Source organism: Homo sapiens, chromosome 15 (assembly GCF_000001405.40).
Source record: "Homo sapiens chromosome 15, GRCh38.p14 Primary Assembly".
NCBI classification, from domain to species: domain Eukaryota; kingdom Metazoa; phylum Chordata; class Mammalia; order Primates; family Hominidae; genus Homo; species Homo sapiens.
This window is the reverse complement of record NC_000015.10, coordinates 55,532,068-55,548,265: the sequence shown is the minus strand read 5'-3', so window position 1 is coordinate 55,548,265 and position 16,198 is coordinate 55,532,068. Positions and strand designations below refer to the sequence as shown.

General features: G+C 37.2%; 1 protein-coding gene across 4 annotated transcripts in view; it reads left to right on the top strand.

Moving 5' to 3' along the window:
- PYGO1 (pygopus family PHD finger 1) overlaps window positions 1-9,382 on the top strand; it is a 50,088-nt gene extending 40,706 nt beyond the window's left edge. For 3 of the 4 annotated variants that reach the window (NM_015617.3, NM_001367806.1, XM_047432381.1), the window contains exon 3: window positions 1,119-9,382. In NM_015617.3, the coding sequence (NP_056432.1) occupies window positions 1,119-2,243 (1,125 nt within the window). In that variant the 3' untranslated portion in view covers window positions 2,244-9,382. The remainder of the gene's footprint in view (window positions 1-1,118) is intronic. The other variant, NM_001330326.2, reaches the window with a different exon arrangement.
- Window positions 9,383-16,198: the final 6,816 nt, after the last annotated feature.

Here is a 16,198-nt window from a genome sequence, read left to right as displayed (position 1 = left end):
GGTGGATTACTTGAGGCCAGGAGTTCGAGACCAGACTGGCCAACATGGGGAAAGCCCTTCTCTACTAAAAATATAAAAATTAGCCGGGTGTGGTGGCACACTCCTGTAATCCCAGCTATTGCGGAGGCTGAGGCATGAGAATTGCTTGAACCTGGAAGGTAGAGGTTGCAATGAGCTGAGATCACGCCACTGCACTCCAGCCTTGGTGACAGCGTGAGACTCTGTCTCAAAAAAAAATTAAAATTAAAATGCTTGTTCTTAAATCTAATTTAAAGGTTTTTAAAGGGCATGAATGCCTGCAGTTCTATTAAAAGATTTCAAAATATATAGTAACAATTTTAACCTGAAATAATTGTTCAACTATAATAGTGATTTAGTATTATGTGCATATCACGAAGCAATCATGATGGAGGCCTTTTTTTGTTATAACTTGTGGTTGTAACAAGCAATTATATATACAGGCTCTCACTGTTTTATTCTTTATAAATTTGAAGCACTCTTTCTATGATAAAGGCTACTAGTAAGTATGTGTGTACAGATTACTGATCTTTTTATCATTTTGACCACCATCTGTTAAACTTGCAGTGTGACTAAAACTGGCAGTTTATTTTTTCAGTCTGAGGCCCAGAACTTAATGTTTTGGAAATATTTTAATTGTATCTCCCTGAAGTTAAGCTAGGGGAAAAACTTAGATTCTGATTGTTGTTATTTAACTTTATGACTGTTTGGTGTATGAGAGGTATTTTAGGTTAGACTGCTTTAGTATTTAAGTGAAAGTTTCTAGAGTTATAGGTAAGCATATTAAATGAAAATTAGGATAATGAAGCTTCTTTTGAAAGTTAACTACTTTTGGTTTTTGAAGTTACAATGGATTTGAGCTCAGAAAATCATACTTTATTTTCTTTTGGAAATGAAATAAAACTAAATATTTTTATCAGCAAGTATAATTAAATATAAACATTAGTCAAAATTGAAAGGTCAAGTGAAGATAATAAATGTTTGTTAACACTGCAAGAGAAATTTGACTAATACTAGGTTCACAGGTATTAAGGTAACAGGACAATTTTAATAATGTATTTGATCGAAAACATGTATTTTACTTTACATTCTCATTTCAGGGACCTTCTTTCCCTCCATTGTCTGAGTATGCTCCACCACCGAATCCAAACTCTGACCATCTAGTGGCTGCTAATCCATTTGATGACAACTATAATACTATTTCCTATAAACCACTACCTTCGTCAAATCCATATCTTGGCCCTGGTTATCCTGGCTTTGGAGGCTATAGTACATTCAGAATGCCACCTCACGTTCCCCCAAGAATGTCTTCCCCATACTGTGGTCCTTACTCACTCAGGAACCAGCCACACCCATTTCCTCAGAATCCTCTGGGCATGGGTTTTAATCGACCTCATGCTTTTAACTTTGGGCCACATGATAATTCAAGTTTCGGTAATCCATCTTATAATAATGCACTAAGTCAGAATGTCAACATGCCTAATCAACATTTTAGACAAAATCCTGCTGAAAATTTCAGTCAAATTCCTCCACAGAATGCTAGCCAAGTTTCTAACCCCGATTTGGCATCTAATTTTGTTCCTGGAAATAATTCAAATTTTACTTCTCCGTTAGAATCTAATCATTCTTTTATTCCTCCCCCAAACACTTTTGGTCAAGCAAAAGCACCACCCCCAAAACAAGACTTTACTCAAGGAGCAACCAAAAACACTAATCAAAATTCCTCTGCTCATCCACCTCACTTGAATATGGATGACACAGTGAATCAGAGTAATATTGAATTAAAAAATGTTAATCGAAACAATGCAGTAAATCAGGAGAACAGCCGTTCAAGTAGCACTGAAGCCACAAACAATAACCCTGCAAATGGGACGCAGAATAAGCCACGACAACCAAGAGGTGCAGCAGATGCCTGCACCACAGAAAAAAGCAATAAATCCTCTCTTCACCCAAACCGTCATGGCCATTCGTCTTCTGACCCAGTGTATCCTTGTGGAATTTGTACAAACGAGGTGAACGATGATCAGGATGCCATCTTATGTGAGGCCTCTTGTCAGAAATGGTTTCATCGGATCTGTACTGGAATGACTGAAACAGCTTATGGCCTCTTAACTGCAGAAGCATCTGCAGTATGGGGCTGTGATACCTGTATGGCTGACAAAGATGTCCAGTTAATGCGTACTAGAGAAACTTTTGGTCCATCTGCAGTGGGCAGTGATGCTTAATCAAAGGCATTAACTAAAGTGGGTTTATTTTCCTGTGCATTGCAGAAGTTCATTGACACAGGATTTTAATGTTTTACATTATTTTTTTAAATGCATACACAAAAACATTATTTACTTAGTTTTTATTAATCACTTCATCACTAGAGCAAATTTTTTATTGTCTTTGCTTGCTGTCTTAAATGAGAATAATGTATATGGGGGTGCTTTAGAAACATAAATAAATGTTAGTTGTTGTTATTTATCACAAACATAAAAGCCTCTTGAAACTTCAAAATAATATATAACAAATGTAGGCAAGTTTTAACTTTTAAAAGTTAGAATCATTGAAAAACGTGTATTTCAGTGCTGAACTTTGGTTGTACCATATTAAAGATTTAGTTCAAAAAGTTTATCAAGGATCCACTTAACACGTCTTCACAACATAATATATGTAACTGTAACATGGGGGAAAGCATACATTTTTATGGATTAAAAAAATAATAGTATGACACCAGATTCCTCCTCCACTAGGGTCTTTGGAATCAATGAATTTCATATTTCAAGTGAGTTTTCAGGATATCTGTTTGTACAGATACGAGACAGATCTTAGCATATAGTAAATTCTCAGTAAGTATTGTTGATTAACTTGTGGATGGTACCACATGAAATTGCTAATATTAGATCAGTTGAAAATTGACTGCAATTAGTAAAGTTGGTATAACGTACGTTCCCAGTTGTGCTATTTAGAATTATGATAGTATTATGCTCCTACTTTTCTTTGATATTGAGTTGTCTTGTTATTGTTTATTGTTTTCCAGAGAAATACTATAGTATCCACAGAAGAATTGTGAATACTTTTTTATAATTTTGAACTGGGACATATTGCAGATGAGGAAGGTAGAAACATCCATTTGGCCTTAGAGGGCTCTGCTAGTAAAAGAACTACTCAGTGGTGGTTTGAAAAATCTTGTTCTGGGGATCTGAATTTCAAAAATGAACCCTAGGGGAGATCAAAATCCATTTTAAACAAAGATCAATTAAGAGCCAAAGTGAAATCTAACTTGCAAACAACAATTTGAAGCCTTGCAGCAGACTTAAGGAATTCCCGCTCTGACTGGGGAAAAGTATAAAAATGGACCTGAGAGTACCCTCTTGAGGGATGATCAAGAATGGAGACAGTTGGAGTTGTGCTCATTAAGATTCAAAACAGCAGAAATCCATTTTTGGAGCAGATTATAACCTGTGGCCAAAAAAAAAAAATGTGTGCTGTTTGACAGCTAATGGCAATTTATACAATCATTGGAGGCTGGTAAAGCTCCCTAATATGTTGCCACCATTATCATTGCAACCAAAAAAATTCTGAAGATTGTGTGGTGATCTACGAAAGAGATAAATAATTACTGTTATTTAAACCCAAGTGAAACAATGACGGCAGCAGCATATTATCAAGAAATTTAAATTATGCATGAAAATGTGATTTAAAAACAATGTCCTTTGGGTAACACACAAGAACCTACACTTTCACAGACAAGGACTCGACCTCACATGTCACAAGCTACTAAAGCAAAGTTAAGTGACTTGGGCTATGAAATTTTGTCATGTCCATTTTAGTCACTGGACCTTTATTCCATGGACTACTGTCTATCATTTGGAGCTTTTTCTAAGAAACAATGCATTCCCCAATCGAGATGAAGTAACTGGAAGATGTTAACAATTTATACAGCCTAACAAATGATGAATTTTATAAAAGTTAGACCTTTAATATTCTGTTGGAAGAAAACTATTCATGCTCCTGATGCATATTTTGATTGAATAAAACTTATTTTTTTAAATACATTGTTTTAATTTTGACCTACAAAAACAGCAATTTCATATGGTACAAGGTAATACAAGGTTTTCTCCATTTACCCTTGACTAGTTAGAGGTGAGTACAAAATATTTTCAGTAGTTGTAAAATATTTATCTTTACAATTTTAGGAAACAAAATGATATAAACTATACTTCTAGGTACTCCTTTGTGTGAAAACTTTACCAGTTGAAGCAGGTTAAAATGCAGTATTTTGGGCTGACAGGCATTTGATGGTGTTCAGTAGTGTACTTGAAGATCTCATTTTACTTGGATTTTTTATTATACATATTTCTCTAAATGTTTAAGGACCTAGTTATGTTGCTCCTGAAAGTTTAATGAGTGCTGATTTTTAATAAATGATGCACTGTATGCTGTATGCCTAGTTGTAGCATCAGATCATGATTTATTATTACCCTGAATAGAGCTAGATGATAGATATTTTGAGTAGAACTTTCCAGTGTTCTCAGGAGTTAACACTTTACATGGTAGTACTTGAGTTGTGATCATTACTAAAATCAATTATGCAGTTTCTTAAACCCTTTATCTCTTTAAGTTTCAGTAGTTAGCTGTTTTTGTGAAAATGAAATAACTTCTCCCAAGCTAGTCTAAAGGTATGTGTTATGCAATATAATTCATTTTCTATTTCCACATAGTTGTTTTTAAAAACCTACAAACAGGTGAATTTTTATTCAGGTGTTTAGGTCTTCAAAGCACCTTACTTAAATAAGAATCTGTAAATATTCAAAAGAAAAACTCACGGTTCATTCTGATAGTGAATCATAGCCAAACTGTAATCATAGCTGATGAATAGCGTTCATGTGTTTGAATTAATTTTCCTGCTAGTTCTACATTTGTCTCTACATAATGCTAAGTCAAAAGTTATATAGATGCTTTTGGATGGAATAAGTGATGAACTGTAAGAATAGCCAGATGATAATTTGTCTGAAGAAGGCTATTATACAAACTGAAATGGCTTCTTAGGATAAATGATAAGCTGCCTTCAACTTTAAAAATATGCAGTGATGGAAAAAAACACAGGTGGAATTGTACCTTTTTTGGTATAATCCCTTTCCTTCACTGAAAGTCCTCATCTTACACACACACACACACACACACACCCCCCACAGTTTCTCCAACATCCTTGAGTTTTGCTTAAATTCAACCTGGCTAACTATGAGCATCTAGGTTTACTCACCAAAGCTAGGTTATTGACAGAAAGGTGGGTTTTTTTTTGTTTTTTTTGTTTTGTTTTGTTTTGTTTTTGTTTTTTGCCAGTCTTGCTCTGTTGCCCAGGCTGGAGTGCAGTGATGAGATCTCGGCTCACTGCAACGTCTGCCTTCCTGGTTCAAGTGATTCTCCTGCCTCAGCCTCCTGAGTAGCTGGGATTACAGTCGCCCACCATCACACCTGGCTAATTTTTGTATTTTTAGTAGAGACGGGTTCACCATGTTGGCCAGGCTGGTGTCAAACTCCTGACCTCAAGTGATCTGCCCGCCTCAGCCTCCCAAAGTGCTGGGATTACAGGTGTAAGCCACCACGCCTGGCCAGACAGAAAATTTTAAAAAGCATCAGTTCCTTTCTCAGAACTTGACTTGCTCATGCACTAGAGAATTTGTGGTCCACATGCTTCTAGGTGTTACTCGATTCACTAATACTGAAACAGCTCAGCTTGTGAAAGATAAATTGTTCTTCAGACAGAGTGCTTAGAATTAGATTTGTGATCAGTGTTTTCCTTTTGTGTGAAATACTTTAGAGTACTGCTATAATTGTTATTCAAATTAGAAGGTTATATACATAAAACTAAAGATTTTCTTGTACTAGTGCTTATTCTTCATAAACACAGTGTAAAGAAATCTACTTTTTTGGTGGTTTGTTTTAGACTCCCAACTCTGCCTAGTGGCAGAAAAACCTCTTAATAGTGTGGGTCATCATAAAATCTGCCAACTTTAATCCAAATAAGTATCAAGAGTCTTCATTCAATATTCTTTCAAACTTGTTTGTCTCGAACAAATTAGAGTTTTAGCACTTATTGTTCAATGTACTATAGTAATTGTATTTAATAGTAAGAAAATATATAAGCAATGATTTTTTAAAAGGGAGTTCTCAAGAGTTTTGGATTTCTTTCTGCCGTGTATAGAGGTTTCTTATGCATGGACATTTGTGCTGTTTTATATCTTTTTCAATTAAAAAAAAATTTAAAGGCATCAGGCTCCCTAAGTTCATTTGTAAATAGTGGCTTGGAACTCTACACAATAGGGAAGCTCCTAAAGGCTCATTTAGACCATAATCTAGTTAATAGTATCATGCTGAACTCTCAGTTTTCTTTAGGAAACCAATCAATCAGTGTAGGAGGGAGAAAGAAGCAGAGGTCTTGTCTTTTTCCTGATGTGATTAGGAGGTTAAGTTCTTTGGTGTGGGTTTCTTTGCATTTGCCCCCTTACCATGCTAAACTCTGGTGAAATGTATAAGCAGCCTTGGCTTTTCCTCTCCTGGGTGCTCTGTGCTTCAACATTTTATATCTTTCCTCCCATCAGAAATCCTGTGTCTTTGTGTGGCAGTAGTAGTTGGCTAGACTTTAAGAGAAAAGCATTTTCTACTAAGGTATGAATGAAGATAGTGGGAAAAGTGTCATTAAATTTCTTTTTTAAAAAAGTATGTTTATTAAGAATGAATCTTTAATATCTAACATTTCAGACAATATGACCGCATTTCAGATACCATGGGAAGCAGTACATTTAGTGAATTAGCTGGTACTGTCTGAGGGTACTTCCAGTTTCCTTTAGGCTGTTGTGACTTTTCACAGCTTCCTCTCCTCTAATTCTGAACTTAGAGATTTTCTTCTCATTTCTAATTTTTAGTAGCTTATTGTTCCATCCAGTAGAGCATTATAAAAGTCACATCTGCATCTTCCAACTTATGGTACAGTGATGGGAATTTGGAAGCACCCCTGGAGCAAAGAGGCTAGGGATAGCATTAACATCTCCCAAGACAAGTGGTATAGGGGAAATGAAGGAAAGACTGTGGCCATGTATATGCCAGGCGTTAATACATCAGAGCTGCCTGTATTTAATTTAAAACTTTTGATGAAACTCAGTGGATAAGCATCTTTGTCATATTTTGTCAATAATACATTACTTGCAATTATATTAAAACTTATTCTAAATACCTGTACCTTTCTTGTTCTGTAGATGTGTAGATGATGTTGCTTGTTTGTCAAAATATTATCTTTTATAAAAGAAAGTCCTGCTTCTTATCATGATGTATGTGACTTAAATGATTGTTTCATATTAAAACTATTTCTTCCTTATGTACTGTTTACATATACCTCTTTTTGGGATATTAGTTCAGTACTTTTATACAAATCTGAGTGTGTTCCACATTGGTGACATGTATTTTTGCAGTAACTTTTTGTTTTGTTCTTAGAACATGTCTAAAGTAACACATGCACTAGTGCTGTGGTCTGTGGCAAAATTACTGTAATTCAAATTGGAAAAAAAAATGTTTCCAGACTTTGTCCAACATTTATTCCTATGGCAAAGGAAATTACTATGTAATACTAATTATTTCTTATGCTGGTATGTTTTAAGCTACTCTATGAAGTATGTGAAACATCAATATTTATGGATTAATAGATGGCCTGATGTCTTTCAAATGGGAGAGGAGTAAATTTTAGTGTTACCAACTCATGACACTTGTAATACAATAAATCTTAAAATTTTTATTTTCCACTTACAGGTATACTTTACTAAATAATTACCTTAAATGGCAGTGCATATTAGGATTTTTTAGCACATACTACTAAAATTATATAGTAACTTTTAACTTGTGCTGATATTTCCCAACCAAAAAAGACATCATTCACTTCATCATAACCAAAATAAGTAGTACTGTAATATTTATCTTCATTTATTTAGACATGATTAAGATACCGTAAGACTCCTCTAATTTACCTGGAATTTTTAGCCATTGATTCAAGGACTTGAATGCTGTTTACTTGGTACTACCTAATGAAAGGATTTGGTAATAAAGGTTATAATCACGATTTTAAAGAAAAATGTTTCATCTTGAAGGCAAATTTTTAAGCTTTTTATTTAGAGGTGTTTACTTAAGAATAGTAATTTAAAAGCATTCTTATTTTGTCATTAAGACAAGTACCCAAAAGAATTGTAATAAGTAATACTTGGCCAATGCAAATTTGTACATTTGAAATCATACACTTGAAAGAAAAAAATGAAGGCTTGTGAGTGCTTAAACTGCATATCTTTTTAAAAATTCAAATTTTAGACATATCAGTTTAAATTATCCTTAATAAGGTTTTACTATGTCAGTGATGTATATTACAAAATGTCTACCTATGTTATGTTAATGATATCTCTATACTGCATCATATTCGGCATGGTTATGGTATATTTTGTACTTTTGATTGTGGACTATTGATAGGATTGATATAGCAATAAATCTGATTCAGACTTAATATTTTTTAAAACGCTAGATACCATACTGTATCATAATCCTATTATATTTGACTTGAATGCCCAAAATTTTCATAGTTCTATATTTTATGTTAAAAATTTAGTATTACATGTTAGGGATTTATTTTTGTCTGCTATTTTCACATACATTCTTTTAGAACTGAGTCTGTTTCTATTTAGATCATAGACGTCTAAAGAAGTATTATTAATTCATGAACTGCTTTGTGGAAAAATTTAAATAAAGTATGAAATGACTAGATTACCCCAAATTGTTTATTTTTTTTTTTGGTTAATGACCAGGTTACAATTCTCAGACAAATGAAATTGGCTTGATAACTGATTGAATATAGTAGATAATGGAAAGTTTGACTCTTTAAGGGCTTCCAAGTGTTAAATACATTCTCAATTCTGAATTACTTCATAGTAACTACTTAAATAATGGTAAGCCAATTCTCCTTTTTCTTTTTGAGATATTTAACACAATTTGCGTCTTCTGATCCCATTCCCTTCTTCCCCAAAAACCATGCTAGAATTTAAAATTGGAAGAGTTTAATTTGTCATCTACATTTTAGTTTTTTTATTCTATAGATAAGTAAGAAGACAAGTAGACGTTCTGCTGTCAAGACAGTCCATGTTATTGTTGGCCATTCTTTTCAGGGATAATGCTTAATGTTATTTGTGCGTTGTATAAGGAATGTTGTTTATCAGTATATAGACCTACCATTAGTAGAAATGATGTATGGCAGGCTTTCTTGAATAATATGTATTGTAAGTTTGTTTCCTATAGTGTTATTATGGTTCAGATTCTTTTAAATAAAGCTAGTTTTTAAAGAGAAAAATAACTTTTTAAAGCGTTTGACTTTCATCAGGACAAGTAGGTGTGAGAATCTTGGCTTTGGGTGGGAGATGTCCAGTATAACATCAAGCAGGGAATAGCCTACAATTTATCAGTGTAATTTTATACTAAGGAGAGAACCAGTATTTTTAGTCAGGCCTTGCTGTATACATATTTTTTCTGTGAAGTCTATTCAGAAAACTGAGTCCTGGATTTCCTTAAGAAATTGTGAGCATGACATATTTACTTTGATTTTAACAGTTTGTGACTTCAGTTCTGTTAGTAAAAATTATTTGGAGAAGAGTTTTACAACTTCAGCAGCTTAATGACCCCTGGGGCAGAGACACCACTGTAGCAAATATTAAGAACAAACTTGTGGCTGGGTGCAGTGACTCACGCCTGTAATTCCAGCTACTCGGGAGGCTGCGGCACGGGAATCACTTGAATCCAGGAAGCAGAGGTTGCAGTGACAGTGAGCTGAGATTGTGCCGCTGCACTCCAGCCTGGGCGACGGAGCGAGACTCACGAGACTCTGTCTCAAAAAAAAAAAAAAAAAAGAAAAGAAAAAAAGAACAAACTTTCTTGAATGATAAGACCTCTAGTTTCCTTGAAACAATCATCAGTTGCCTTGAGTCTGTTACATAAAAAGAGGCTGAATAAAATAATGTGTCAACTGATGAAAGCTTGACATTATAGGTAAGAAGTGATAAGATGAAATCTCAAGATAAAATTTGAATGCGTGACATTTCAAATTTAATAGGAAAAAATAAAAATATGTGTATCTCGCTGAAGGAGAGAGAAGATATATATAGAGAGAATTCTTATCAAATAACATTGATGCTCTAAGTTACTCCCTCTGTTTTAAACATATAGCAGTGATAAATATGAAAAGATAAAATTGAACTCAAAACCATGCTAAATCCAAGGACAAGTAATATTGTACAGAAAGAAAGCATGAGCCATGGTGAAGCAGTAGCCTGCCTGACTCTGAGTTCTCAAGCAGAAACTTGCAGTAGGAAATTCTAATCTGACAAGGTAATGAGGTCTAAACATCTTAAAACATGAGATGCAATAACAGTGCTAAAAGGGAAATATATAGCTTTAGATTATTTTTAAGTCCAAAGTATGATGAGCTAAGTTGATCTCAAGAGACTAAGAAAACAACAACAACAAAAAACTTGAAAGTAGAAGGAAGGAAATAATAAGAAATAAAATAGGAAAACACTAGAAGGAATAAGAAGACCATAAATAGGTTATTTAAACAATAAAGATGAGGCCCAGAGCGGTGGCTCATGCCTGTAATTCCACACTTTGGGAGGCCAAGGTGGGAGGATCACTTAAGCCCAGGAGTTCAAGATCAACCTGGGCAACATAAGGAGACTCTGTCTACAAAAAATTTTTTTAATTAGCTAAGTGTGGTGGTGCACACCTGTGGTCTCAGCTGCTCAGGAGGCTGAGGTGGGAGTATTGCTTGAGCCCAGGAGTTGAGGCTATAGTGGGCCTTGATATGCCGCTGCACTTCAGTCTGAGCAAGAGAACAAGACCTTGTCTAAAAAAAAAAAAAAAACTGAGCCTCTGACAAGACTGATTTTTTTTTTTTTTTTTTTTTTTTTTTTTTTTGAGATGGAAACTTGTTCTATCACCCAGGCTAGAGTGCAGTGGCACGATCTTGGCTCGCTGCAATCTCCACCTCCCAGGGTCAAGCAATTCTCGTGCCTCAGCCTCCTGAGTAGCCGGGATTACAGGCGCATGCCACCATACCTAGCTAATTTTTGTATTTTTAGTAAAGACGGGGTTTCACCATGTTGGCTAGGCTGGTCTTGAACTCCTGACCTCAAGTGATCCGCCTGCCTCAGCCTCCCAAAGTGCTGAGATTACAGGCATGAGCCACTGTGCCCGGCCAAAACTGATTTTTTTTTTTTTTTTAATGGTAGGCAGAAATATCAGGAATGAAAATGGAGGCAAGCATAGCACTGCTTTAAGCCGGTGCTGAGCTGGGATTTCTCTCCGCTGCTGTACCACTTGTGAAAGGAAGCTAAAAACTGAAACCTACCTTCAACTGATACCTGGGGCTCTAATTTATAGGAAGATGCAGGGCTAAGGGGGTAGAAATACGCAGTTTTTAAAATGTACAGAGTTGGTAACTGGTTTACAATATGAAGAAAGAATTGAAGCAGTGAATTAGCATGTAACACCTCGCTGAATTGGGGTCCCTAAGACACAAGTTGGAGGCAACCCAAAATTGCTAGAAAGAAAAGGATGAACCCAGAGGAAAGAAAGATAAATGAAGGGAACAAAAAAGACACTGCGAATCAAAATTTCTGAACACATGAGATCTGAAGACAGGAAAACCAGCAAATCAATACCTTTTGAAATTTCAGTCCACTCAAGATGAAAATAATGGAATAAACTGAAACTTTAAATAAGTTTGCTTAGGACTTTGAAAAGTAAGCTAAACAATAAAATAGAAATGATGAAACCCAAATAAGTAGACATTAATCCATTCAATATTTTACTGTCTTAATATGTTCAGGCGCTCTTCTGGATGCTAGAACTATAGCAGTAAATCAAACAGACAAAAATCACTATTCATGAGGTTTTTATTCTAATGATACAGACAGTAAAAGGGTAAGTGCAATTAAGAAATGAAGGGGCTAGGTGCAGTGGCTCACACCTGTAATAGGAAAATAATAGGAAAATAATAGGAAAAAGAAAAATACTAATCAAAGAAATATAGCAGGCCGGGTGCGGTGGCTCACGCCTGTAATCCCAGCACTTTGGGAGGCCAAGGTGGACGGATCACCTGAGGTCAAGGGTTTGAGAGCAGCCTGACCAACATAGTGAAACCCCGTCTCTACTAAAAATACAAAAATTAGCCGGGGGTGGTGGCATGCACCTGTAATCCTAACTACTCGGGAGGCTGAGGCAGGAGAATCGCTTGAACCTGGGATGCGGAGGTTGCAGTGAGCCGAGATCTTGCTACTGCACTCCAGCCTGGGCAACAGAGCAAGACTCCATCTCAAAAAAAAAAAAAAAAAAGATAGAAAAAAGTATACCAGAAAAATACTAATCAAAGAAATATAGCAGGCTGGGCACCTTGTTCACATGAGCCAGCAGCAGCAGCAGTAGTGGCATAGTGGCAGCATGGTGGGGGCACACCCATCCGCTGCAGCAGGATGTAGCAGGTGCTGGGGTGCCTGCCTTTGTGCAGGCATTCACCACAGTGGCGAAGGAGTACAGCTTCCAGGGGCCCCTGCTGGTGACTATGTGTGCGGTTGGCTGGTGGTAGTGTTAGAATGGGGTGCAGGCAGGCGCAATCTGTATGTGTTCTCTGTGCACCACAGGCAGGGGTGGTCACTCAAGTCGGGGGAGGTTCCGCTGGTCTCTGTGCCTAGTTTCATTCCCATGGCAGTGTTGGTGCAAGGGCATGCCAGCAAAGCAATGTGGGGGGTTGCTGTGGGCCAGGCAAAACAGCGTGTAGGGAGGGAGTGGGTGGCCTGGTGTGTGGCTGTGGGGGCTGTCCTGCTGTAGTTCTCTTGATGGTCAGGCATGGTCCACCAGCACAGAAACTATGATGTGAGCCCCCAGGACACCCAAGGCTGTTTGACAGGCAGGCTCAATCAGGCCTGGGCCCCAGGAGGGGCCAGCAGACCAACGGATGCTCATGTCAGACCGGCCTGTCTGATGGGCAAGACCACGTAACAGAGTTCAGGTCCAACACTTCCTCTAGGGCTAAAGTCTCCTATGGGAGCATGTTGAGCCTAGAGAGATGGGTTATCCTGGCCATGCTTCGCTACAGATGCTCCCACACCAAACCCTCTGGGCTCCTCTTCAGCAGACGTGCTGCCCCTACCAGTTCTCTGAGCAGCTATCCCTGCCAACTCAAGGGTCCTTGGTGGTCAGGGGGTCTCCTGCCAGGATTCCAGAGGCACGCAGTGAGAGTGGGTTGCTCCTTACCAGTTCAACTTACCTGTTCCCTCAGAGTTTCTGAGGGCCAGGAATGAGTCCTGGTGCATAGTAGCCCCATGCAGGGCTCCCAGCTTCCTCCTGCTTCAGCCTAGCTTCTGTGTCTTCCCTTTGTTCATTCTGGTGCCTTCCCTCTGAAGATCTGTTAGGAGTATAACAGTCATCTCAGTCCCTCAGTGGCAGCTGTTCCATCTGGTTGCATCTAGTTGGCCACCTTGCCCCCATTTTCACCCAAGAAAACATTTTATAAATATTTTTAAAACCCCACCAAAATGATAAAATAATCATGGACATGTATGATTGCAAAAGAGCCTCAACATATATAAAGCAGAAGATACAATCACAGAGAATTATAGGGAGAAATAAGCAGCAATTGCTTAAGATTTTAAAACAAATTTCTTTCAGAAAATGATAGTCCAAGCATCAAATTTTTTAAAATTATTTTTAATATATATTTTTGTCCACTTAGGCTGCTATAACAGAATACTATTGACTAGGTAGTATGCAGACTATGTTGTCTGACCAAAAGATAATGAAAAAAAACTATGTATGTTTAGAAAATGAAAGTAAACTCTTGACCTCATGTTCCGCCTGCCTCGGATTGAGACCATCCTGGCAAACATGGTGAAACCCCGTCTCTACTAAAAATATAAAAGTTAGCCAGGTGTGGTGGCAGGCACCTGTAGTCCCAGCTACTCGGGAGGCTGAGGCAGGAGAATCACTTGAATCTAGGAGGCAGACGTTGCAGTGAGCCAAGATCATGCCACTGTACTCCAGCCTGGTGACAGAGCGAGATTCCATCAAAAAAAAAAAAAAAAAAAAAAAAGGTAAACTCTTTAGTACTTAATTCATCAGAAGGAAAGTTATGTAACATTTATACCTTAAAGACAACTTAAATACTACACATCAAAACCACAGGGGTAGGTTTAGGATATAGAAAACTGCAAAGAACCTCATTTCCACTCTAACCATGAGAAAAAGCTGGATAATCCACAAAACCATGACTTTTTCTAAAACCATCATAGAGCTAATTTTAAAGGCAATCAAGTAATCTGAATAGCAAAGAGAAACAAGATTCTCCAAGGAGAGAAAGCACATTAACGATTTCACATTTAGCAAAGTGGAAGAGAAAGGTGGCCATCATATCAATGGGAAAGAAGAAATCAACTAAATTGTTTTAAAGGCCATATATGGGTTAGTGTGTCAGTTTGTCATAGGTGGGGGCCTCAGACACCAAGTGAGTTTGCACTCCCTTGTAGGCCTTCACTGGATGCTCAAGAAAATGACTGGGGGCAGGAGAGAAGACTGAAGAAATCCCCCTCACCCACCACCCACAGCAGTGGTTCAAATGTTCATGTGATTAGTAGATTCTTGGCGACAGGCATAAAGTGCAATTTTCTAACCCCTTCTCTCCTACAAATCAAAAGTCTTAAAACATTGGGGAGGATCATCAAACTCTTTTGTCCCTGGACACAGGCAAAGAATTATTGTTTTTAGGGGAGGGCCAGAAGAAAAGCTTGTTTGCTTCTTGGTAACAGATAGGAAACTATCCCAATACCAGAACAAAGGCAAAGATCCATTGCTGCTGGAATGGTAAGGGAGGAAGGGTAAAGGAAAAAACTCTTTGCCACTGTAGGAAGGACAGGGAATTTCTTGGGCAAAGGAGGCTTCATTGATATCAAGCAGATTATGAGAGGAAGTCCTGGAAGGGGGTAGGAAACTGTGTCCCTAGACCAATCACAAAGATAAGGCAGAGCTGGTGGCCATGAGAGGAAGGAAAAGAATAATGAGGAAGTCCCACTACTGAGACACAGGTCCTGTGCCTCTCCCCTAAGCACAAGACCTTAGTAGCACACCTGTAGAGGAATCTGAAGTTTGTGTTGCACTAAAGACAGCTCTACCAACAACAAAACCCAAACCCAGCTCAGCCAAGGCAAACAAAAGCTGAGAATTTGTTGCAAGCAGACCTGTGCTACCAGAAAGATTAAAGGATGTTCTTCACGTCGTATGTTCTCATAAGTGGGAGCTAAGCTATGAGGATGTGAAGCCATAATAATGACACATGGACTTTGGGGACTCGGGGAAAGGGTGGTAAGGGGGTCAAGGATAAAAGACTACAAATTGGGTTCAGTGTATGCTGCTCGGGTGATGGGCGCACCAAAATCTCGCAAATCACCACTGAAGAACTTACTCATGTAACCAAATACCACCTGTTCCCCAAAAACCTATGGAAATAAAACACACACACACACACGAAAAGAAATAAATAATTCTTCTTTTGAGAAGTCTGAAAAAAAGGATGTTCTTCAGGCAGAAGGATTATATTGCAGAGAAACTTGTATCCACACCAAAAAATGAATAGTGTTGGAAGTAGTAAAAATGAAGGTAAATATAAAAGATATTTCTTCTTGTTTGTAATTGCTTTGACCCACATATTATATATATATGTCTATATATAGAGAGAGAGACTGTCTATATATATATAGTCTATTGATTTCTGAAAACATTGCCAAGATAATTCAATGGAGAAAGGGTACACTTTTTAAACACATGATACGAGACAATTGGACAACCATATGTGAAAAAATGAGCCTGGACCTATACTTGGTATCATATAAAAATTTAACTCAAAATGAAACACAGATCTACATTTAAGACCTAAAACCATAACATTTCTAGAAGAAAATCAAAAAGCTTTGTGTGTTAGGTTAGAAAACTATTTCTTAGTTAAGACTCAAACAAATATTTTAAATGTTGTTAAACTGAGCTTTATCACAAAACTTCTATTATTTAAAAGACATTGTGAAGGATGAAAAGACAAACATACAATAAAATAAAATAATTGAAAAGCACA